Source organism: Homo sapiens, chromosome X (genome assembly GCF_000001405.40).
Source record: "Homo sapiens chromosome X, GRCh38.p14 Primary Assembly".
In the NCBI taxonomy this organism is placed as follows: domain Eukaryota; kingdom Metazoa; phylum Chordata; class Mammalia; order Primates; family Hominidae; genus Homo; species Homo sapiens.
The window spans coordinates 150,725,720-150,746,615 of NC_000023.11; the positions used below are offsets into that span (position 1 = coordinate 150,725,720).

Sequence of the window (20,896 nt, forward strand, 5' to 3'; positions counted from 1 at the left end):
TATTGTTTTTGTTTTTGTTTAAACAGTTATCTTTTAAGGATAATGATAATAATGCCTTAGTCTCCTACAGAAGCACTTGCCAATCCACTCCCTGCCAACTTCTCTGGCCTCATATTCGACTGTCCTCACTGCACCCATTGATCCAGGCATACTAACCTCTAACAACTTATCACTGTGCCCTTCCTCCCTTCCTTCTCTTACTCCCCCTACCCACTTTCCTATTGAGTTAAGTTGATCCTTTTCTGAACTTCCATTGTAATACTTTGTGTCCACATTGTTATTTTAGCTTTTGTCAACCTCTAGTGCAGGGATCCCCAACCCATGGGCCGTGGATCAGCACTGGTCCATGGCCTGTTAGGAACGGGGCTGCACAGCAGGAGGTGAGCAGCGGGCTAGTGAGCATTATCGCCTGAGCTCCGTCTCCTGTCGGATCAGCGGTGGCATTAGATTCTCACAGGAGCGTGAACCCTGTTGTGAATTGCGCATGTGAGGAATCTAGGTTGTATGTTCCTTATGAGGGTCTAATGCCTGATAATCTGAGGTGAAACAGTTTCATCCTGAAACCATCCCCCTACCTCTGCCCTGGTCCATGGAACAGTTGTCTTCCATGAAACCAGTCCCTGGTGCCGAAAAGGTTGGGGACCTCTGCTCTAGTATAATGGCGATTTTTCTGTGTGGTATCTCTCACAGGTCATGGGCTGCTCATGGACAGGAACTTCTTCCAATTATACCCAGAATCCCAGCAATAGAAGGCTCTCAGTACATAAGGAGTATAGAAAAGTTCAATGGAAGTATTCTGAGAATTTGGTTCAATGACGTTAATGCCTTTTGTTGTCTCACTTGGACTCATATATAGCTATGTATATTCTTGTCATTCCAGTGGAATGGCACTTTGGGAAAACATGAAGATGTGGTATCTTTGTGATAGAAGTGAGCTTCTTAACACTAATGGGAATTAAATATGTCACGCACTTAATAGATATTGACAAAAAATTAAAACTGATAAGGGGATAAGGAATTTGAAATAAGTCTTTTTCCATTTCATTGATGTGGTTCTAGGTTTTGTCTTCTGTAAAAAGAGTTTCCTTTGGAGATGCATTAGGAGACAATCTTTAGTTTTCATTAGTTTTAAGTAGCAGTAATTCATGAAACAGTAGCCCAGGGTTTTCAGAGTTTAATTAATGTTTTGAATATGATTAATTTATCACCCAGGGAAAATGTTAACTACCTAGGAAAAATGACAGAATATAACTTCTTATGAGGCCCTTTACTTAAAACCTCATTAAGTAGCAAATCAGAATTTTGTTTTAAAAAATTGAAATTTATTAGAAGACTATGCATCTCTCTATATTGAAAGTCATAATTGATATAATCCTATAAAATACAAAATTCCTGGAAAACTGGAATCACAAATATATATTTGGAAAACTCGTGTTAAGTTTTATGGAAGCACAAGTCTATGGCAGTAGTTGCTACTTTGGCCTTTTTCTTTCAGTGAAAGATGTCATGTATATCTGCCCATTTATGGGAGCAGTGAGTGGAACCCTGACAGTGACGGACTTTAAGCTGTACTTCAAAAATGTCGAGAGGGTGAGTTTTTTAAAGTGTGTTTTATTTTAAAAGAAACACTTTTAAAAGAACACTAAAAGAAGAAAGTAAAAAGTCCCCTGAAATCCCATTACCCTGAGATAACCACAGGTTGGATTTTGAGATGCACACATTTGCAAACAGATGTTTGTATCTTGAAAACAAAGGCTGTTAAAGTACCGCTTAAACCTGGAGGGGAAATTCCATTGTTGTCTCAATATATATTTCACAAGGAATGCTGTCAATCAGACTTCAATTTAGCTGGGACAAAGAGGAAATGCGAAGTAAACAAACATGTTTTGTAACCCAGCAAAGACTTAAAATATGAAAACTGTTGACTGACACTAATAGGCATTGATCTTAATTTTTGAACCTAGGACCCGCATTTTATCCTTGATGTTCCCCTTGGAGTGATCAGCAGAGTGGAGAAGATTGGAGCACAGAGCCATGGAGACAATTCCTGTGGTATAGAGATAGTGTGCAAGGTATAATAGAAACGCCAAGTGAAAACTAAAAGAGGGCAATCAGCTCTGAACTTTTTCTCCCTCAGTCTCTTCATGGTCTTTGGACAGTAGAATAATTTGTACTGCTAGTAACTCAAATGTTTTCGGGATAGCAACCTCTTCAAATCTCATATCGAATTTAAACTATTATGTAACCCTTTGAAGTAAACCTTTTCCATCGAAGTCCAATTGTCCCTTGGTATCGGTGGGGGATTGATTCCAGGACCTCTGCCTCAGATACCCAAATCCATGGATGTCCAAGTCCTTTATGTCAAATGATGTAGTATTTGCATATAACCTAAGAACATTCTCCCATATACTTTAAATCATCTGTATATTGCTTATAATAACTAATACAGTGTAAACACTATGTAAATAGTTGTTATACTGTATTGTTTAGGGAATAATGACAAGAAAAAATGTCTGTGCATGTTCAGCACAAATGCAACCATCCTTTTAAAAAATATTTTCCATCTGCAGTTGTTCGAATCCTCCAATGTGGAACCCATGGATAGGAAGGGCTGACTGTATTTCTAATTAACGTGGACCTATAACCTAAGTGATTGTTTGTCACATCTCAGAGAAGTCAAGTGAAAAGCAGAGACCAATACATTTCCCCAGTTTGTTGTTTTAAGACTACGTTCAGAACAATGTGGATGGTCAGAGACTTCCTAAAGGGACAGCAGTGGCCCATAAATTCTGTGATTAAAAATGAGATTAAGTTTCTTGGCTATCTTGGAATTTTTATGTTGAGCTGGGCTTATTTGTTTATTTTGTACCCTTCTTCTAATAATTTAAGTAGAAATGTGTGTGATAACTTTAATCACGAAGTCATGTAGGACCCACTCCTAATTGATGTATTTTATTCCCAGTGACTTGACTTTGGTAATGTTTACCAAAAACCCTACCTGAAGTACCAGAAAAGAGATCCTGCCTGCAGGATCATCAGCGCCCCTTCCAAATTTTGGGTTAGGATTCCTTACAATCTATTTATTTTGATTCAATCTCTGAAGATAGCTCCCTCTGGTTGGTCCTAGACTGCGTTCAAAACCATTTTTTTTTTTTCCAAAGAACCCTTTACTCTTCCAGATCATGAATCTGTTGGCTTACTAAACTCACTTTAGTCACTCCCTGACAACTGTCCTTCTCAGGCAGGGTTCCCCATATGGAACAATGGCAAGCAGAGGGGTGACTTGATCGGTTCTGCAATTTTGAAACATGTCGTCCCCTTTCTCATGACGCTTGAGTATCTTCCCATTATCCTTAGACTAAAAGAAAAACTCTCCTTACAAGACTGCTCTGCCTGACCCACTTTCCTCTGCAGCTTGGTCTCGAACTGCCCTCCTCTCATTCTGGCCATCCCAGTCACATGGGCTTTCCTTTGGTGGTTCATACTTGACACACCCACCCACACACACACACACACACACACACACATCCCAGAATCTTTGCATGTGCTCTTTCCTTAGCTTGTAAGCAATCTTAAATAGCAAGTCAGCTCAGTCAGCCACCAAGGTGTATGTGTGTAGCCATGTAGCTTAGAGGGAGGGCATGTCAGGAAATTATGTTGCTTAGGCAGGCATCCTGGGGCTCTTTTACTAAGATATTTTTATGGCTGGGGTGAGCATTTGCTAACAACTGCTTTAAATGTTCTCTAACCTAGATTACTAAGGTAATGCTCCCAGCCTTCTCAGATCATGCCTAAGAGCTTTACAAGGTGTGGGGTTTATTTTTTAACAGGTGATATACAATTCAAAAGATACAAAAGCTGTGTATAGTAAAAAATCAGTCTCCTTCCACCCACCACCCTGCCACCCTGTTCCACTCATTTCAGGCACCCACTGTGGCCGATTTCTAATGTAACCCTCCACAGATAGCCTATGCACATGAGAATGTATGTATAGTCCTTCTTTGAAAACATAAGTGGGGCCAGGCGCAGTGGCTCATGCCTGTAATCCCAGCACTTTGGAAGGCCGAGGCAGTTGGATTACGTGAGGTCAGGAGTTTGAGACCAGCCTGACCAACATAGTGAAACCTTGTCTCTACTAAAAATGCAAAAATTAGCCGGTAGTGGTGGTGGGTGCCTGTAATCCCAGCTACTCGGGAGGCTGAGGCAGGAGAATTGCTTGAACCAGGGAGGCGGAGGTTGCAATGAGTGGAGACTGTGCCGTTGGAGCAGGATAAAGTATAAAAGGAGAAATGAATTAAAAAAAAATAATTTCCTTATTTATGGCACGGTATCTGGCTTATAGGTGCCTGATGTATGTTGAATAACCGAGTTTTGCTAATTGTTTAACAGGATATGAGGAACTTGCGGCTTGCTTATAAACAGGAAGAACAGAGTAAACTAGGGATATTTGAAAACCTCAACAAACATGCATTTCCTCTTTCTAACGGACAGGTAAATACACCAGAGTAAACCTTTTCTGCATGCATTTGTGGGGGTCCAAATATCCTATGTTTAATTATTCCTTTTTCCAGAGGTTTTTTTTTTTCCTCTCTTTTTTCCTCTGTTGGTGACTAATATTAGAATATTTGAAATTTGTCAGTTCTGGGTAATGCTTAAGAAAAGCTGCTACTTTGTTGCTGTAAAATTTACAGACTAAAATAGGAATCTTAATACACTCAGCTCATATTAGAATGAAAAGCTTTAATATTGGGTATATGATATAAAAAGAAATAGTAACATATGTGTTTTGTGGTTTTTGTGTCCAGGCACTATTTGCATTCAGCTATAAAGAAAAATTTCCAATTAATGGCTGGAAAGTTTATGATCCAGTATCTGAATATAAGAGACAGGTAAAGTATATTGCTTATCAAACTGAAAATAATAGGTTGAGCATCTTTTTCTCTTCTAAAAGGTTAGAAATGATGTGGTGGAGAAGAAACTTTTTCGAACAAGTTATGCACAGGTTTAACTGCTAGCTTATAGGTTCTCCATCTTTCCTTGATTCTCTCTTCTCCCTGTGCCAAACCTTAGACTTTGTCATGTTTGTTCATCCTGTTTCCAGAGGGTGAGTGGGACTCAAGGACAAGGACGGGTTTAAAAACCAAATTTGCCAGATGGTTTTTATTAGATGTTCTGGTAAAGAATTGATGAGTAAGGATCCAAACCACTGACTACAGTTAGATTCGAAGCATGTGGTGTGACTACATCTGTCTGATCCAGTGTTCCCGGGTCTGGGAACTCTTCAGTGCATTGTCAGCTTCAAATTATTCCACTAAGATCTTATTTTCATGACGTTTGTTTCATGACGTTGTCTCTACCTTATATTTGGTATAATGTTTTACGTTACTTATTTTAGACATTCGTAAGAGGTATCTGTGTTTCTAAAGGACTTTTGAGTATATTCTCAAAAATAACAGAGCTCATTATTTATAGAAAATAGGACAAGAAATATATAGAAATGTGATTCTAGCGTATAATTTTCATGTTTTAGTATGGTTTGGATATTCTTATGCTTCTTTAGATTTTTAGAAATGTCTAGGAAATGGGTTTTACCGAATAAATATATATATTGACTTTTAAGTTACAATAAACAATAAATTATAAACGGATTTTAGTTGCAAATAAGAAATGGATGTACTTCATGCTTAGTACTTTTTCAAAGTGTAAAGTCATGCATTTCACCCTCTTCTTCTTTCTCCAACACCTTACAGGGCTTGCCAAATGAGAGTTGGAAAATATCCAAAATAAACAGTAATTATGAGTTCTGTGACACCTACCCTGCCATCATTGTTGTGCCAACTAGTGTAAAAGATGATGACCTTTCAAAAGTGGCAGCTTTTCGAGCAAAAGGCAGAGTCCCTGTAAGTAATAAACATTGTCATTTATATAGGAATATATATTGCGTTAGATCTAATATGGAGAGATTTAAGACAAAAAAGAAACTAGTGAACAAAAATGGAAAGCAGAAAAATAAGCTTATAAACCTGAACATACCTTTGATTCTCAACAAATACCTAATTATATAAACAATCTGTTTGCTATGACTCCCTCTTTTACGATTTCCTATAACTAAGTATAAGGGGAACTTCAGTCATACCCTCAAAAAGTAGTAGAGAATGACAAAGGAGTAGCAACAACAAGTTATCATGCTATTGTATTACCAGTTGGCATTGCTGGTTTCACTGAATCATCCTAGAGAAAATGCTTCTTTCTTAGATACTGAGCATGATGCCATAGCTGCGTGGGAGGGACATCATTACAGAAGTAGTAGCAGACAGCTGGGAGTAATGGTTTGAGCCCAGAGTTTGCATCTGTTGTAATCCTGAGTCACTTGGCCACTGGAGGAAAATGAGAGGTGGGGTGGCAGAGTGTCAGATTTTATAAGAGACTGTATATTCACTTTGTCCTTACCCTGCCACGTATATTATTGTTGAGATACAAAGATGTTTTTAAAATTAGGAGACAAGGTAAAATTAGTCAATCAAATTGGAATGGGGCTAGATTTTAGTAATAGTTTGATTTAGGATTTGTTTTTCTTAGAATCATAGAATATTGGGGATGGAAGGGGATTTTTAGAGCTCATGTAGTCAGAATTGTTTCATCCTGACCAAAACATTGAGTCTGATGGCCACTACAATGCTGTGATTGGCCTGCCCACTCTCACTTTTGAAGAAAATATGTATAAGAGACCGTGCTTGAGAAGGGAACTTGTTTTTCCTACCAGGTAATTAGAGCATACATTCTTTAGGAACTGTACTAATATTTATTGCTTAAAAACACTAGGTGTTGTCATGGATTCATCCGGAAAGTCAAGCAACGATTACCCGTTGCAGCCAGCCACTTGTGGGTCCCAATGATAAGCGCTGCAAAGAGGATGAAAAATACTTGCAAACAATAATGGATGCTAACGCACAGTCACACAAGCTTATCATCTTTGATGCTCGACAAAACAGTGTCGCTGATACCAACAAGGTATATTCTTAATAGCACTGCAGAAACACTGGATATTTTCATGTCCTGTCTGTAAATCATTATGCAGTTGGAATAACTCATTGATTTCCTCACCACCTGAAGTTAGAATCATTTGGAGTCCCATAGCTATTCCTCCCTGGTGTATGCTCCTTGGGCTGTGTTTGGTGTCTCACATGGGTTGGGATCTTGTCTGTTTCATTGCTTCTCTACAATATCCTGTCTGCTAAATCAATTAAGTAAAGACCTAGAAAGACAATTATCATCTAAAGGATTTAGCATTTTAATGAAATGATCGTGAGGTCCTTGGAAGTCCGTTTAAGGAATATAGTGGTTAGTTGATTAATTCATGTCTGGTCTGAATTTCTTTTAGAATGGAATCAGCCATGTGAAATGTGTAAATGTACAAAGTTTCCATAAATCTCATGGAGCACCTGTGTAGTGTACCTCGGGTGGCAGTGAGACATGGTTAAAAACACCTCCGTTCCCATGACTTTCATGATATCACACCCTGAGTTTCTCTCGCTCTTCAGCCTGGCCTTCTCCATCTCCTTCACTGATTTCTCTTCCCAGTCTTCAAATGGCATTGCTCCTCGAACTTGGTCTGGGGTCCTCTTTGCTCTACACAGACTCCTGGGGCCATCTCTGATGACACGGCTTTAAACACTGTCTGTATGCTGAGTTCAACTTGAGCTTGACACTGCAGTTTCTCTCCTGTCCTGATCCCTCCTAAGGTTGAGACTGGATTTCTATCCCATTGTATGGTTGACATCTCTGCTTGGCTGTTTCCCAGACCACAAACCCTCCGTATATTCCAACTGGCCTGAGAGGCACGATGGCAAGTTGGTGAGACCCCTTGGCTTTGGAATCAGTTACACCTGGGTTTTCCTCCAGGTTCTGCCACTTGGTGCTCTAGAATCCTGAGCCGGTTACTTAACCTCTCTCTGTGCCTCAGGTTCCTCTTCTGTAAAACAGGAGATAATATCAGTGTCTCATGTCATGGGTTGTGTGAGGATTAAAATTCAGTGAGAAGAATGCATGTAAATGACTTAGCACAGTGGTGAGTGCATCCTCAGGGCACAGTACATGATGCTGATAAGCTCGCCACCCCTGTGGTCAAGGGTGTTGCCCAGGTGTCTGACTTGAGGGTGAATAGTGGTGTCTGTTACTGAGATGGGGAAGACTGGGAGAGGAACAGGGCAGGGAGGAAGATGGGGAAGTATTAGTTTTCTGAGGCTGTCATACAAATTACTACCAATTTGTTGGCTTACAGCACCAGAAATGTATTGATCACAATTCTGGAGGCCAATTCTGCTCCCTCTAAAGGTTCAAGGGGAGAATCTGTTCCTTGCCTCTTCCAGCATGGGGTGGCTGCCCCAGCCTTCCTGGGCTTGCAGCCACATCACTCCAATCTCTTCTTCCGTCATCACATGACCCTCTCTTGCTCTGGGTTTCTGCGTCTCCTCCTTTCTCTTCTAATGACACTTGTGATGACATTTAGGTTCCACCTGAAATAATCCTGGATCCTTAAACACATCTGCAAAGACCCTCTTTTCAATTAATCTTGGAATCCTTAAACACATCTGCAAATCTCAGGATCCTTAAACATCTGCAAAGACCTTCTCTTCAAATAAGGTCACATTCACCATTGCCAGGGATTCGATGTGGATGTCTTTGGCGGGGCCACTTTTCAGCCTACCATAGGGAGGCATCCCTCAGTGAGGCCCCCTTGCTCCCCACATCTGGATCATTAGCTGTGTCAGTCTTTCTACATCTCTGCCTCCCACCTGTCACCACCATATCCCAAGGAATTACAAAATGTGAGAAAAGCCATATTGGTGGAGGCCATCTTCAGACTAGCCAACAGGGTGAGGGCAGTTCATTGTGTTTTATCCCATGCAGGAGAGATAGAGACAGGACACTAAATTGTATATCTAGAATAATTTTAACTATGGCAGTATATGTGTCTAGGAAACAGTATTTTCTAGGTCTCCACTGGTTCTTTATATATAAGATTATGTCATATGCAAGTCGAGATAATGTGACTTCTTCCTTTACAATCTGGCTGCCTTTCATATCTTCTTCTTGCATTGGTATTGCATTGGTTGATTTTTATATGTTGAACCACTGTCGTGGATTGAAAAATGTCTCCCAAAAGTTTGTCCAACTGGAACCTCAGAATGTGACCTTATTTAGAAATAGGATCTTTGCAGATGTATTAATTATGATGAAGCCATCTTGGAGTAGGGTTGGCCCTAAATCCAGTGCCTAGTGTCCGTATAAGAAAGCCATGTAGAGACACAGGCACACACAGAAGGAAGATGGCGATGTGGCAATAGAGGCAGAGATTTAAATGATGCAGCTAGAAGCTGAGGAGTGCCAAGGACTTCCAGCAACCACCAGAAGCTAAGAGAGAGACATGGAACAGATTCTTCCCTATACCCTCCTAAAGGAACCAACTCTGCCAGCACCCTGATCTCGGACTTTCAGCCTCCAGAACTGTGAGAGAATAAATTTTATGTTGTTTTAAGTCCCCCAGTTTGTGATAGCACCCTTAGGAAGCTAATAAAACCTCCTTACATTCCTGGGATAAATCCCACCCGTTCATGGTATGTGATCAGTCCCCTTCATATACTCTTGGATTGGGTTTGCTAGTATTTTGTTGAGGATATTTGCATGTATTTTCATAAGGGATGTTAATCTGTGGTTTTCTCTTCTTGTGATGTCTTTGTCTAGCTTTGGTATCAGGATACAGCTAGCCTCATGGAATGAACTAGGAAGTATGCCCTCCTCTTCTAGTTTTTGGATGACCCATCATCTCTTACCTCACCTACAGCAGGAACCTTGAAATTGGACTTCTGCCTCACACCCTGCAATCTCATCTCCACATTATGACCAGAGTGATCTTCTTTTTTAAAAAAAACTTATTGTTACTATTTCAATTGATAAATGAATTGTATATATTTATGGTGTACAACGTGGTATTTTGATTGTGTACACATTGTGGAATGGCTAAATCAAGCTAATTAACACACCATTTTTTGTGGTGAGAACACTTAAAATCTACTCTCAGCAGTTTTCAGATACAGACTACATTGTTATTGACTGTAGTCACCATGTTGTACAGAGTGATCTTCTCAGTGGACAACTCTGTGCACATCCCTCAGAGCCGCAAGGCAGTGATATCCAGGTTCCTGAACAGGGTCTCCAAAGCCCTCCACCCACGGGTCCTTTCCTTCCTGTCTCGCCACATCTTCCAGGTCCATGTCTCAGCTATGTGAGGTTCTTTTCAGTTCCTTAAGCACATCCCACTGTTAGCTCAGAGATATGTTGCAGTCCTAACTCCAAGTACCTATAAATGTGGCCTTATTTCACAATAGGGTCTTTGTAAATGTAATTAAGTTAGGATGTGGTCATATTGAATTGGGGGGTGGGGGTTAAGCCAAATGACTGTGTCCTTAGAAGAAGAGGAGAAGAGACAGACACAGACAAAGGAAAGAAGGTCAGGTGGAAATGGAGGCAGAGATCAGAATGATGTGTGTATAAGCCAAGAACACCTGGGACTATCGGAACCTGGGGCAGCCAAGGAAGGATCCTCCCCTAGAGTGTTCGGAGGAAGCATGGCACTGCCGATACCTTGAATTCAGACTTCCAGCCTCCAGAACTAGGAGAGAATAAACTTCTGTTGTTTTAAGCCACTGAGTTTGTGGTTCTTTTTCCAGCAGCCCTAGGAAACTCATACAAGGATATAGGAGGTTTATTTGCAGATGAGTTTGTTGCTTCTTTAGTGGTCTGTATCTCATAGCACTAGAAAGAATAGAAAAGTTAATTCCAGATAATGTGATGTATTTGTTTTGTTTTTCGTAGACAAAGGGTGGAGGATATGAAAGTGAAAGTGCTTACCCAAATGCAGAACTTGTGTTCTTGGAGATCCACAACATTCATGTCATGCGAGAGTCACTACGCAAATTAAAAGAGATTGTGTACCCTTCGATCGATGAGGCGCGGTGGCTCTCCAATGTGGATGGGACGCATTGGCTGGAATATATAAGGGTAAAGAGATCCAGCACTTTATATGCTTTCCAGTTAAGACTTCTTTGTGCCTGTGCCATAAATACGTATATCTCCAAGTGCCTCTTGGCTGTGTGCATGAACTTTCTTATTCAATAGTTTCCATGGACAGCATCAGACTGGGGTCTTTGTGGAGGGCTTTTGTGACATAGTGAAAAGGGAAAAATGCTTGCCTTAGGTCAGGCTTTTAAAGAACTTCGTGGCCCTTTAATAAGGAACCATATTTACTCCTGTAGTTTTTCTCCAGTATAAGATTTTTTCTTTTCTTTTTATTTTTTTAATGTGATGCTAATATTTCCTAGTGATTCTCAGCTGATTGCCTGCCATTCTTGCTTGGTTTATTGACCAGAACTTCCAAAGCTCTCCCCAGAATTATTTTACATTGTTTTACATTTAATTGAAATTCAATGTAGCCTGGTCTAATGTGCCTTTTTTTTCTGAAGATGCTGCTTGCTGGGGCAGTAAGAATTGCTGATAAAATAGAATCTGGGAAAACATCTGTGGTGGTGCATTGCAGCGACGGTTGGGACCGAACAGCCCAGCTCACATCTCTGGCTATGCTAATGTTGGACAGTTACTACAGGACCATTAAAGGATTTGAAACTCTCGTAGAAAAGGAGTGGATAAGCTTTGGACACAGGTTTGCACTGGTAAGTTCAGACAGTGAGGTTTATGCTGGACTGTTTTGCGGTATCATATGGATGTAAACGTCATGTGTGACACACGTAAGCGCATATATACACACACACGTGCAGGCTTTCTCTTCTGTATCATATCAGACCTGAATTGCCATAATAAAATACATGGACCTCAGGCATTGTATGTTCCTCATAGGGCGTTTTTATTTTAGTGTATTTATGCCTTTTTAAAAAATTGAGGTAAAATTCATATAACATAGAATTAACCATTTAAAATGCTCAATTCGGTGTCCTTTAGTAAATTCACAGTATTATGTAACCATCACCTCTAGTTTGAAAACATACTCTGGCCAGGCGCGGTGGCTCAGGCCTGTAATCCCAGCTCTTTGGGAGGCCCAGACAGGCAGATCACCTGAGGTCAGGAGTTCGAGACCAGCCTGGCCAACATGGTGAAACCCCGTCTCTACTAAAAATACAAAAATTAGCCAGATGTGTTAGCGGGCGCCTGTAGTCCCAGCTACTGAGTAGGCTGAGGCAGGATAATTGCTTGAACCTGGGAGGCAGAGGTTGCAGTGAGCCGAGGTCATGCCACTGCACTCCAGCCTGGGCAACAGAGCAAAACTCCGTCTCAAAAAACAAAACAAAACAAAAACCGTACTCTTCACCTCAAAAGGAAATGCTGTACACATTAAACAGTCATTCCTCACTTCCCCCAGCCCCTGACAACCACTAATATTTCTGTCTTCATATACATTTGCCTTTTCTAGGTACTTCATATAAGTGGAATCCTACAGTATTTGTCCTCCCATGACTGAGTTACTTCACTAAGCATAATATTTTCAAGGTTCATCCATGTTGTGACAAATATCAAATTTTCATGATTTTTTATAGCTGAATAGTATTCCCTTGTGTGTATATACCACATGTTGTTTATCTGCTCATCTGCTGATGGATGCTTGGATTGTTCCCACCTTTGCTATTGTGAAGAATACTGCGTGAATGTTAGTATATAAGTTTTTGCCATAACAAGGTACCACAGACTGCATGGTTGAAACAACAGAAATTAATTTTCTCATAATTCTGGAGGCTGGAAGTCCAAAATCAGGGTCCCAGCAGGATTGATTTCTCTTGAGGTCTCCCTTCTTTCCTTGCATATGGCCACCCTCTGGCTACCTCTTCACAAGGTCTTTCTTCCCTTTGGGAGCTACTGGACACCCCTGCTGTCTCTCTGGGTGGCCAAATGTCCTCATCTCATAAGGATACCAGTGAGATTGGCTTAGGGCTGACTTCAATGCCCTCATTTGAACTTCATCACCTCTTTAAAGGCCCCATCTCCAAATATGGACACATTGCTGAGCTACCGAATGTTCAGGCCTCAATTTTGGGGATCACAAGTCACCCTATAACAACTTGCTTACAATCTAGGGGGTTATATACCTAGGAGTGAAATTGTGAGGTCATCTGATGGGGCATTCTTGGGCTGCCATTTGTGTTTTAGTCCAACTGGCAGCTACTTCTGGTCTGTCTAGGCCATTGAGCTGTTAGGGATCTTTCTGAACTGTGCATTGAATGGGAATACTCCTGAAGTCCCCATTAGACTTGCTATGGAAAGCAGGAAGATGGGTAGTGCAAGGATTTCATTGGCTTTGGTGTGAGTGTGCCAAGCTTCCAGCTGTCCCTGCACTCCTGGGGTGGAGCGCCTGCAAGAGGACCTCCCAGAGAGAAGGGACAAGTCCGCAGTCTCTGAGCTGCATGCCCTTTGGGAGCTACTGGCAGATCCCTGGGCATGTGCCTTCCCCTCTCTTGCCTTGATTCCCTCCTCTCTGAAATGGGGGCATTGTGTGGGAGAAATGAGTTTATATGTGTCAAATGTTTAGGGCAGTGTTTGGCCCATGCTAAGTGCCAGGGAAGTTTTAAACAACATCACCAATTCCTTTGTTTCTTACCCCCTCAGCAAAGGCTGGTCTCGGTAAGGAAGAGAGAGTGTGTGGAATCTTTCCAGATGTTTGGGCCACCTCAGAAGACTCAGAGGCCACTGCCTTCTACCTTCCTCCCCAAACTGTATGTCCTAGGGGAGAGAAAGCTTGAATGGGTGCTTTGCCAGAGGGGTAGTGGTGAAGGCTGTCTAGCGAGGTGCCAGCGATGGCAGCATGTACTGGGACTGAGCAGAGGTACATGCATCAGGGTGTGCCTACAGCGCCCTGCTCCCATCCCTACTTGCTAATCCTGGGGCTCACTGCACCATGGCCACAGTGAAGCCAATAGGACTATCAGATTCCTAATGGCCTCAATTTACTAAGCCACCACTATGTGTTTGGCACTGTTAATGTGCAGCATCTTGTTTAATCCTGATAGTACTCTCATTCACAGATGGGGAAATTGAGGTTTCAAGAGTGTGTGTTATCTGCCTAAAGTCACACAGCTAGTTAGGGTGGAGCCAGCCTTTAAACAGTGATTTCAAGCCTGCAACCACCCACCCTCTGGATCTGTGTACTCTACTTTACCTGGAGTTCTGTGATTGAGCCATCAGGGCTTCCAGCTGAGGCTGATCCTGCCCTTGCCTGCTTGCCTCCATCATGGAACTTTCCAATTGTTCTTCCCTTTATCCTGCCTCCATTCCCCCCTCTTCCCTAGATCATTCCCATTGGTGTGGAGACATTCTGTTATATCCTAAAACAAAAACCCTCTTGACCCCACAGCCCTCCTCAGCTGTCACCCTGATTCTCTGCTCTTCTTTACAACAATGTCCTCAAAACTGTTGTCTGTACTCACTATCACTATTTCTCTCCTTCCAGACTGTCTTGAAAGCACTTCAGCCAGGGTTCCTTCTCACAATGCCCGCCCCCCCACAATCTGGTCGTGTCACCGTCATCACTTGTTTTATTTGGCCTGAGCATTCGATGCTGTTGATTCTTCCTTTCTTCCAAACACTTTCTTCATTCGGCTTCTAGGTTTCTTTGACCTTTTGAATTTCCTCCAACTTTCAGGTCTTCCCTCATCTTCCCAACCTCTTAATGTTGGGGTGTTCCAGGGATGAGTCCTTGGATCATTTTTCTTCTCTTTGTGGTTAACCTGTTAGTGATCTCAGCCAGTCCCATAACTTTGAATATATGGATAGCGAATCTGTGATCTCATCTCCATTGCCCCTGATGCTCCTGTAACTCAGGCCTTATCAACCCCCTTAGGCAGTCTCCTAGGTGGCTGTCCTAGTCTGTTTGTGTTTTTACAATGGAATACCTGAGGCTGGGTAATTTAGAAAGAAAAGAAATTTATTTGGCTCACGATTCTGCAGGCTGTACAAGAAGCATGGTGCCGGCATCTGCTTCTGGTGAGGGCCTCAGGCTGCTTCCACTCATGGTGGAAGGTAAAGGGGAGCCAGTGTGTAGAGATCACATGGTGAGAGAGGAAGCAAGAGAGAGGGGAGAGGGTGCCAGGCCCTTTGTAACAACCAGCTGTCTCGGGAACTAATAGAGAACTCACTCACACACTCCCCCATCCAAGGAGGGATTAATTTATTTATGAGGGATCCACCCCCATGACCCAACACCTCCCATTAGGCTCCACCTCCAACATTGGGGATCAAATTTCAACACGAGGTTTAGGAGGACAAACATCCCAACAATAGCAGTAGCCTTTCTGCAACCTAGCTCTGTCTAATCCATCGTCCCCATTGGAGCCAGATGGAGCATTCCAAACAACAGATTGGATGCTGCCACTCCACAGTGTGAGTCCCTCAGCACCTTCCTGTAGCACACAGGTTTATGAACAAACTCCTCAGTGTGCACTCAAAGCCCTTGGTGATCTGGCCCTAGCTACATCTCCAGCCTCACCTCTCATCTTCTTTCCCTTGCCCCGTCTAAGCCTCAGCTGTGCCCAGCTACTTGTGGCTTCCTTAGTGTTCCCCACCACATTGCCACTGGTTATCAATTCCTGGCTACCTGGGAAGCAGGCATCTCCCTGTCCTTCAAGGTTTATCTCAAATGAAATGTCCTTTATGACTATGACTCACATGACTGTCCCTCCCTGTTCCTTCCCCTACCCCATCCTAGGATGGTTCACTCATTCCCTTGTGCTCCCACCATACCCACTGCATACTTGGAAGCCCTTGGAACACTTTATTGCCCTTGTGATTTATACATCTTTGTCCCTTGACTAGACCACAAATGAATTATTCATCAAGCACAAGTACAGTGTCTCATTTGCTCTGGTCTCCTAGGGGCCTAGCCAAGGACCGGGCCTCTACCAGACACCATGACAATGTCTGACATTCCGAGGGCCAGGCATGATGCCTTGCACACGCCATAGGAGTTCCATGGCTATCTGTTGAAAGAATGATCCTAAATTGTGAACTGTCAGTGTAAAACAGTTCCCTAGGTGCCTTAAATACTGAACAGCAGGTCCTACAAGAGATTTTATAGTGGGGCAATGCATGGAGCTACTATGGAGAACAGAATGGCGGATACTCAGAAAATTAAACGTGGAACTACCACATGATCTGACAATTCCGCTGATGGGTATATACCCCAAAGAAGGGAAAGCAGGGGCCCAAACAGATATTTGTACATTGGTGTCCATAGTAGCTTTATTCACAATAGCCCAAAGGTGGAAGCAACCCCAGTGTCCATCAGCAGACGAATGGAAAAACAAAATGTGGTCTATATATACAGTCATGTGGTGTGTGATGATGAGGATACATTCTGAGAAATGCATCATTAGGTGATTTTGTAATTGTGTGGACATCATAGAATGTACCTTACAGAAACCTAGATGGATAACCTGCTAACATCTAGGCTATATGGTACAGCCTATTACTCCTAGGCTACAAACCTGTGTGGCATGTGACTATACTGAATACCGTAGGCAACTGTAATACCATGGTAAGTATTTCTGTATCTAAACGTAGAAAAGGTACAGTAAAAATATGGTATTATAGCCTTATGGGACCACCATTGGATATGCAGTCATCATTGACTGAAACGTCGTTATGTGGCACAGTTAAGTGGCACTGTAAGACTAACATACAGTGCAATGTTAGTCTTAAAAAGGGAAATTCTGGCATGTGCTATAACATGGATGAACCTTGAAAACATGCTCAGCAGGCCAGGCGCGGTGGCTCACGCCTGTAATCCCAGCACTTTGGGAGGCCGAGGCGGGCGGATCACGAGGTCAGGAGATCGAGACCATCTTGGCTAACACGGTGAAACCCCGTCTCTACTAAAAATACAAAAAAATTAGCCAGGCGTGGTGGCGGGCACCTGTAGTCCCAGCTACTCGGGAGGCTGAGGCAGGAGAATGGTGTGAACCTGGGAGGCAGAGCTTGCAGTGAGCCGAGATTGCGTCACTGCACTCCAGCCTGGGCGACAGAGTGAGACTCCATCTCAAAAAAAAAAAAAAAAAAAAAGAAAGAAAGAAAGAAATCATGCTCAGCAAAATAAGCTAGCCACAAAAGGACAAATATTTATGTTTCCACTTATATGAAGAAACTAGAATAATCAAATTCATAGGGACAAAAAGTGAAATGGTCATTGCCAGGGGCTAGGAGGTGGGGAATGGGGAGTTAGTGATTAATGGGTATAGAGTTTCTGTTTGGAAAGATTAACAAGTTCTAGAAATGGTGATGGTTGCATAATAACATGAGTGTGCTTGATGCCACTGAACTGGACACTTAAAAATGGTTAAGATGAGATTGGATGTAGTGGTTCATGCTTGTAATTCCCAGCACTTTGGGAGGCTGAGGTGGGAGGATCTCTTGAGGTCAGGGGTTCAAGACCAGCCTGGGCAGTATAGTGAGACCCCATCTCTACAAAATAAAGAATTAGCTGAGCATGATGGCTCACACCTATAGTCCCAGCCACTCTGGAGTTTGAGGTGGGAGAATCACTTGAGCCCAGGAGTTAGAGGCTGCAGCAGGCTATGCTCGTGTCACTGCACTCCAGCCTGGGTGACAGAGCGAGGCCCTGTCTCTAAAAAATAAAAATAAAAATAATGGTTCAAGTGATAAATTATATGTCATGTGTATTTCACCACAATTAAAATTTTTTTTATAAAGAAGGTAATACACTGTTACTCTGAGATGTTAATATTGATTTTGTCATTTATTTGTTTTCATGTCTTTCCAGGTGGCAATTTCATAGAGTATTTTTGCTCTTTCTAAGTGATTGCTTTGTATTTTCTTAATGAGTTTTTTTCCCCACATCCTTTTGCTCATAGCAAATTATTTGAAGCTTCTCTTAGAATCCTCACCCTTCAGCTATCTTTTTACTTGTGGCATTTTCAGTGTTTTGGCAATCCTATTTGTGTATTTGAGAATACTATCTTTTACCTTTTGGTATGAATCTATTGATATCTTACAAAGTATCAAAAGATATGAAATACAATACTGGACTGCCTTAAGCAAGGACCCCACCTTTACCATTTCAAGATTGAGTTGTTGGGGTTCTCTGAGTCATGAAGAATTGGTTAAAAGTTGTAGATTGCTAATCATTATTTTGATTCTCAGACTTCCTGACATTTCTGAAAAATGGAAAAAATGTTTTTATACTTGTAGAGAAAATGGCATTCATAATGTGCTTTATGAACTGCTAATTGGCATCCTACGTTGACACTGTACACTTAGTGTGGTGGCTGGTCTTGACCCTACCATTTTAACTGAAAAGTTTGCTAGCTAGTTGCTTGTACTTTCTTGATATCAGCTATATTAAAGAGAAATTATAAAACAACATGTAAAAATACTGTAAACTGAAATTTTGTTTTCTAAAAGTAATGGAAGTCATTTCGATTTGATAGACATTTTTGAGTGCCTGTTATGTGCCAGGAATTCTATTAGGCCTGATGAGATGTGATTCTTACCACTGGACAACTTACAGTGACTTTCAAGAGGACTATAACATACGTTAAAACGTTTAACCTTCTGTTTCTGTTCAGCGAGTGGGCCATGGTAATGACAACCATGCGGATGCTGACCGATCTCCCATATTTCTGCAGTTTGTTGATTGTGTTTGGCAAATGACAAGGCAGGTGAGAGATTTCAAGTATATTTCTATATAGTCTTTGCTTTAAATATATCTTAAAGATTAAACTATTATTGCTGTTTCATTCAAGATGAATTTGTGTAAAATATGACCCCATTATTTAACACAATTTGATTCTAATTCGCTTAGAAATATAAGCAGAACATTAGAAACAACCAATTTCACACCAAAAGTTACTTGTCTTTGCAAATGGTTTTTATCAATCATCTTGTCCACTAGGTCCAAACCAAGGCCCTACTCCTCTATAGATTCTGCTGCTTTTGCTCCCCTTCAAAAGGTTAAGGAAGTACAGTCTCCTGCTGAGCAGTTCATCTAAGATTTGGCCAGATGTTAGAAATGAGGATGGGAATGAACTGCTAGTACATGGGATTAGACCAGGCAATCCAGGAATCTCCACACTCTGCCCCAGTCCAGAGCCTCTCCCACCCAAGGTCACTGAGGGAAATGAGTGTCCAAGAACCAATGGCATAGAGGAAGCTGCATAGCATTTTGCTATTAGCTGGTGCATCGTTCCCAAACCCCAATGCACAGGGCCCTGGTAAAGAAGGGAGCCATCTAGGGATCCCCTTCCCTTGAGCTGGTCAGGCCCTTTGGCTTCAGTTCAAAGTAGGCCATAAGGCCATAGTTCCTGCACTGTTTTGTTGTCGTTGTTTTCCCCCTCATCTCCAACATCTAAACCTGAGTTTGGTCTCCTATCCTTGTGATAAGAGACAGTGCCAGGGCAATGGACCTGGAACCAGAGAGAGAGGCAAAAGAGAGTAGTTTCCCCAGTGCCTGCTGCGCAACCTGGCTGAGGGTGGGGCTATGGGGTACAGAACAAGTTAGGGGGCTGAGATCCAGGGTCTGAGCCTTCTCTTGCTAGTCATTCACCAGGAGCTCTGGCCTTGGCTGCTTCAGTCACGGGGAAGGGAAGCAGCCAGGACACTGCCGGTGATCTGCGGGGATGCTACCAATAGCCCTGCTGCTCTTGATTGATCCTCCCGCAGCCTTATCACCATCAGCCCAGGGCCTTTTCAGAGGACATCTGCCTCCCTACTGCAGAAAGTCTGTGAAATACTAGGCCTGTTTCCCCACTGAGAGCTACTGTTACTGATGGCAGTGTGTGTTGGGGCAGAAGGAAGGTTGATAGTCATGATGCTGCCTGTGCTGTCCGGCTCCCCAGCAGCTCTGCCCTGAGGAGGACCTGGAGAACTCAGAAGATGGCTCTCCACCTTGAGTGCACACAGCCAGCCCCTGGGAACCTTCTTCCTGTGAGCCTGGAGACAGGCTTAGGTGTGTGTAAAAGTTCCCCAGGTGATTCAGATGTGCAAATGAGTTTGACAACCAGTGATCTAGCTTAGTGCTCCAAATGTGGTCCTGAGAACTTGTTAGAGACACCAAACTTCAGCCTCACTGATGACCTTCCAGTGCTCTGGGTGTGGGGCCCAGCCCTCTGGTTCCACAAGCCCTTCTGGGGGCTGATGGATGCTCAACTTGGAGACCATTGCTGTAGACTAACATTGCTCAAACCTTAATGAGCACACAAGTCCCCTGGGACTCTTATTGAAATGCAGATTCTGATTCAGTGGGGCTGAGGCAGAGCCTGAGATGCCACATTTCTGATAAGCTCTCAGGTGATGCCATCGGGTCACAGATCACATTTTCAGTGGCAAGGGAGCACAGAGACATACCTCTAGAAATAAGGAACAAAGGGGAGGGAGTCTGAATAGCCAAAGTAGATTTCATGGAGTCCTCAGGCCCTCACTTAGAAATTAACACTGACTTTTACACCCAGCTTCAACAAACTGATTGGGGTCTCACATGATCTGATGGCCAGGTCACAGGTGATTAAAGATAGCCTGTTAGAGAGCTGGCCTGGGTAAGAGGGGCTGGTCCCAGAGGTAGGTGTGCTGATGGTGCATGTGAAAGGTAGCAGCAAACACACTCCAGAAGCATGAAGACTGGCCTGAAGCCTTACTGTTTTATAGAGCCAGGCACTGTTGCTATTTGTGTTGATGCTGAGCCAATAAGAAAGTTAAATGATTGTCATGTTCAGGTTAGGACAAGAAAGTATGAAACACATTTTAGAAAAATTGCATAAAAAGGTTGAACACAAAAAATAATTGCAGTGCTTCTAAAGGGATGAGCACCATTTCGGTGGATGTGAAA

At 42.4% G+C, this 20,896-nt stretch overlaps 1 protein-coding gene across 21 annotated transcripts in view; it reads left to right on the top strand.

Moving 5' to 3' along the window:
• Positions 1-20,896, top strand: part of MTMR1 (myotubularin related protein 1) — a 72,147-nt gene that overhangs the window by 32,758 nt on the left and 18,493 nt on the right. For 18 of the 21 annotated variants that reach the window (NR_148676.3, XR_007068204.1, NM_001353992.1 and 15 more), the window contains 9 exons: positions 1,496-1,590; positions 1,965-2,072; positions 4,390-4,491; positions 4,806-4,889; positions 5,751-5,900; positions 6,823-7,011; positions 10,876-11,061; positions 11,523-11,729; positions 18,642-18,734. Coding sequence is in view for 19 of the 21 variants with exons in the window: in NM_001353992.1 (NP_001340921.1) it covers positions 1,496-1,590; positions 1,965-2,072; positions 4,390-4,491; positions 4,806-4,889; positions 5,751-5,900; positions 6,823-7,011; positions 10,876-11,061; positions 11,523-11,729; positions 18,642-18,734 (1,214 nt within the window). In the remaining 2 variants the exon portion in view is untranslated. Of the gene's footprint in view, positions 1-1,495; positions 1,591-1,964; positions 2,073-4,389; positions 4,492-4,805; positions 4,890-5,750; positions 5,901-6,822; positions 7,012-9,744; positions 9,983-10,875; positions 11,062-11,522; positions 11,730-18,641; positions 18,735-20,896 lie in introns of those variants that run through there. The other 3 variants (XM_011531210.3, XM_017029924.2, NM_001306145.2) reach the window with 1 other exon arrangement.